The sequence below is a fragment of the Homo sapiens genome, chromosome 4 (genome assembly GCF_000001405.40).
Source record: "Homo sapiens chromosome 4, GRCh38.p14 Primary Assembly".
Taxonomy (NCBI): domain Eukaryota; kingdom Metazoa; phylum Chordata; class Mammalia; order Primates; family Hominidae; genus Homo; species Homo sapiens.
The window spans coordinates 123,987,542-123,992,799 of NC_000004.12; positions in this window are offsets into that span (position 1 = coordinate 123,987,542).

Consider the following 5,258-nt stretch of genomic DNA (forward strand, 5'->3'; position numbering starts at 1 on the left):
AAGTAGCAGCTCTTCCCTGAAAGCTGAAGTAGCAAAAAGCTATATCCTCAGGATAAAGGTGAACAGGAATTAAACTATCCCCATCCGTCTCACCCCAGAAGAGTGCAAAGAAATTGGCCTCAACCCTGAGCCAAGCTAGAGGAAAAAACAACTTCCTGAGATGTTGTAATGACTGCCAGCTGTCTCATGGATTTATAACAACAATTAACACTATCTGTATTTATCATGCAGTGTAAACTGTGATTTAATTTTCAGCAATTCTTTAATTATTTAAATGATTGGTAGTGTTTCCAGGTACCTGGCAGAAACAAACGTGAATGTTTTTTGGAGGCATCTGCCTTAACCTTAGGCTTCAAAATTGGTTACAAATAAGTAACCCCCAACACCTTGAAAAAATAATCAAAGCATACAAAGGGGAAAAAAACCACAAGAGCAGAACAAGAAGGAAGAACAGACAACACAAAGATACCTGCAAAAAATTTCTCCTATTTTTGAAGCAAATATGAGAAAACAAAGTCCTCTGAATATTCAAAGCCCGACCCTCCTTATACCCTCTGACGGAATATAATCGACTGTGTTATTTCTCCTTTCCACCATTATTTTTGTTTACTCACTTCTTGTTTACAAAGAAATCCTCCTGTATTGAAAGAATAATGTAGGGCCTCATGCTGTAGGGCCTCATTCAAAGTCTCTTTGAAGAAAACAGTGAGACCAGAACAGATACAGGAGCTTTTCAAGTTTAACATACAGAAATTTAAATTGCCATTTTGCCAAGGTTAACACATTGAACATCAGCAATTTTATATGCTTCAGCATAGTATATTAGTTGAGCTAAGCTGCTGTTTCAAGGAGACATTAAATACAGAGAATCAAACAGTATAGTTTAGTTATCTTTCAAGTAATAGTCCAGATATGATTAGCTCATGGCTTATGAAGCAACTCTCTTATCCTCAACATAAGACTTTCAAAGTTTCTCTAATTTTTCCATTTTATAGCCATCTAGCAGAATGAAAGATGAAGCCCAGGGCAAACACATTTCTCTAAAAAGAGTTAAGAGAAAAGTTGAACACATTTCATTTGTTTATATCCCAGTGGCCCCAAATTAGTTAAATGGGGTCGTCCCTAATTTCAAAATCTGTGCCCTCAATAATTTCTCCTCTTATTTTCTCCTTTATTGAGGTTTCTGTTCTACTTATTATTATTTTTGTTTGATTAGAATCCTTTATCTAGCAATTATCTCCAATGGAGTATACTGTTTTAAAAACATTTTTGAATCCTTGGATATTGATACATATCTTTTTTTTTTTCATGCTGCCAAATGTTCAATTCTCTTCTCATTTCCTGTATTGCAGATAAGGTCAATGTGAAATATTATTTTCTGTATTCCTTTGTAAATAACCACTTCTTTATGTTTGGAGGCGTATTACGATGTTTCCTTGGAATTCAGGGTTTTATCAGGATATATGCAATATTAACATGTGTCTTTTTTTTCAGAGACCTTCCTGGAACTCAGTGAGCCTTTCTAATTTGAAAATTCAAGTCATCCCTCTTGTTAAATAACTAAATTTGGCCTAAAGCTGCTTTTGTAATGTGACTTGCAACCTAACCTAGTATGCAAACAAACTGCAACCTAACTTGAATATATTCTTATAACAAATAGTTTAGTCCCAGCCAATCACAGCAGCTGAGCTTCAGCCAATCATAGGCTACCAGCTGGTTAGATCATGTCCATATCAGACAAATGCCTCATCACACCATGCCCAAGTAAGACAAACACGGAGCTATAACCAATCAGTCTGTTTCTTTACATCACTTCCTTTGTCTGTCTATAAATACTGCCTGCCCATGTTCTTTGGTGGAGCTCTCTGAAGCTCTCTTGGTTCTAAGCAGTGCTTGAATCATGAATTGTTCTTTGCTCAAGTAAATTCTTAAATTTAATTTGTCTAAAGTTTTTATTTTAAGAGGCTACTCAAAGGAATTTTAAAACGTTATATTTTCAATGATTTCCTCTCCAACATCTGTCATTTTTCCTTCTTCTGGAACTCCTATATTCCTATTTTAGTTCTCCTTGCAAGATAGGCCCTATAGCAAGAAGGTAATTGAATCAAGCTGTGTTAGGCTGTGGAGCTCGCACCTGATGCATGACAAGCTCTTTATTGTGCCCCAGCAATCATACTGTGCATTGCATACCTCAAGACTGATGACATACACTTGGCCTAGGTGAGAGTTCCCCAGCAGTTTTCCAGACAAGATACCATCCTGGAATGATCTAGGCTTATGTACACATAAGGCCGACTTAAAAGGGGACAGGTATGATCTTGGACAATGAATGTGATTTACTTGGGGGCTATTAACTGCAACTCTGTAGACCTTAGAGGCCAGAATATTTGCACCTCCCTTGGAGAGTGTAATTGATCTTGCTGCTGCGTATTTGAATTCTTCTGCCTTTTTTCTGAACACTTTAGATGGAAACAACTTGTTTGATTTACCCAAGCAGTTTTGGCTTCTGTGCTTTATCTTTCTGTCAATTGTACCAGTTGTGAGTATTTATCAATAGTCTCCATGCCCTCCTGAATCTGTCCTACAATTCTAATATGTTTTTGGTATGTTTGCCATTTATTTATATTTCTTATTCTATATTACCAGACCTTTGAACTACCTGATCATTCAGTTTCATTGTAATTCCTTCCTCTTCGATACACCATGATTTCTTTTTAATTTAAAAAGAATCTTATTTTTTTAAGTTTAGAAAAGTTGTAACGTGTATGTGTGTGTGTATGCATGCACTATCATGAACTTCTGTATTTTTGTTATTATTTCATGGGCCCCTTGTCTTCTCTTTCCTCTAACAGTGCTGTTTCACTGTGAGACGCCTATTCTGGGTCTGGTGCTTGTTCTTCCTTTTGCTAAGTACTTTGTCCCTTTAGGGTCATTACAGTTATTCTGTACCTATTCATTGGGCTTAGTCCTGGAAGCAGAAGAGGCAGCCACCTTGTGGATAGTGGTAAAGGTGTCAGTCTTTTCTATTGGGGAAGGTGATGTATTGGTCAAGAAGTAGTCAGTATCCTGTTGAGGTCCCTTGAGGATGTCTCTGTGTTCTTTGTTCACCACAACTTCAAGTGCTAGCACTCTCCTGGCCTCAATCAACCTACCCAGACCCCTAGTGAAAGAATCTGTGGAGGCAGAGATAAGGGCCGATTCTTTAAAAAAAAAAAAACTCTCATGAGAAACAGCATGCCCTCTTCTTTTCATAGGAACATAGTTCCCCTCAGAGCATCTTTTTGCAGGATACACTCTGTTCTGATCCTCACCTCAAGTCTGCTTTGGTTGCTCCCAAGAAGGGGAACGAATACAATGGATTCTGAAATTTGCTCATGTGCATTAGCTGGAGTGTACTGAACCATCCTGGAAACTGAGGCAATAATATTCAATAATGGTGATCATTCCTTCATCTCAAAATTTTATTATTTTGTTCATCATGGATTTTTCATTAATTTTGATTTTTTTAAATATTGCATTAAAATATTGTTTATCCTACTTACTGAGATTTGTGGCACCACTTAACTTTTGTATCCAAGGGGAGTTCCCCACTTGCCTCATCCTTGTCCCAGCCCTTTCCTCCAGATCCTTCCTGCTGTGGCCACTCTGGGGACTCTCCTAACTCAGGGGAATAACTAGGGTTTGGATTGGAGGCAGGAGAACAGGGCAGACGTTTCCAAGCACTATCTTTGGAAAGATAAAAGGTAAAAAGAAAAAAGAAAAGAAAACGTGTACATAATTCTTCATCTCATCTTTAATGTTCCCATTCATATTGTTTTCAAATTTATATAAAATCAACTTTAAAATTTAATCCTGTTTGTGGACTAAAAATATCAAACTGTATAAAAGGATACAAGTAAAAACTAATATTTTCCCCTCACTCAAGCTTCCTTCCTCAGAGGTTAACATCTAAAAGTTTTAGTGTAAGACTGGTTATCCTTTTCAGTTTTGGAAAATTTCATTATATTTTTTCTTCTGTCAAGCCACTTCTTCCCAATTTTTTTCTTTTCCCTCTTTGAGGGAGACATAATTGTTAGGTTTTGGGTCTTCTGAGTTGAATTGTCTTATGTTTGTGTTTCTGTCTTGTCTTTTTGTCTTTGTTGGAAGGGAGTTTCTCAAATGATATCTTCTAGCTCTTGTTTTTACTTTTAAGGCTTGGCAAGTGTAGTTTTAATTTCCATCAATTCCTTTTTCCCTGCTCCTTTTTAAATAGCAACCTACTTTTACTTAATATATCAGGAATCAAAATAAATAAAATATATTACAAATAATAGTATGAAAATATATAAAATTAGGAATTGATATGGTCTGGGAGGTAATGATATGGACAGGAGGCAGGGAAATACTGTGTAGAAGAGAGAGGTCCCTGGCGAGGGCCACATGGTCAAGCCTGGACTCATGGCCCAAAGTGAGAACGTACATTCTTTTTGTCCTGCTCAAAAGTTGCCTTTTCCAAAACCACCCCTGGCCCGCCTCACCCCCGATCCTGTACCCATAAAAACCCCAGTCCCCACCAGCAGAGTGGCAGAACAGTCAAGAAGGAGAGAAGAAGCAGCTGGATATTGGAGAGAAGCAGGTTGAATTCAGAGGGATGGCTTGATGGTGGGACCTTGGAGAAGAGTTTGGCCAGGGATGGCCAAAATCCATGGAAGACCACCTTCTCACTCCATCCCCTTTCCAGCTCCCCATCCCACTGAGAGCCACTTCCACCACTCAATAAAATCTTCCACATTTACCATCCTTCAACTTCTTTGCATGACCTGATTCATCCTGGATGCCAGATGAAGACCTGAGTGTGGGTTCAAGAGGTTGTCACAGTGACCCTCCACTGAGTTAACACTTAAGCCATCCATGGATGGCAAAGCTAAAAGAACACACTTTAACACATACCCTCTGGGGTTCCAGGGGTCCCTGACAACCCCAAGATGCTGCCATGGGCCTGCACAGAGTTCTTCTGCCAGAAGTGCTCATTCTGGCCTCTGTACCTGCTCACCTGCATGCTCCCCCTCCCACAAGAGGTTGAGAGCTTTGAGCTGAGTACATGAGTCAACTCCTTTGCAGGGGTCAAGGGAACTATCACATTTCAGTAGGACAGGCTTCCTTGTGAAAATGACTTTTGAGCAGAAATCTAACCGATGCTAAGGAATTAGTTATAACGATGAAAAATGACCTAGTCAAGTAGGAGGAGGGAGTAAGAGCAGTTCAAAAATAGGATTATA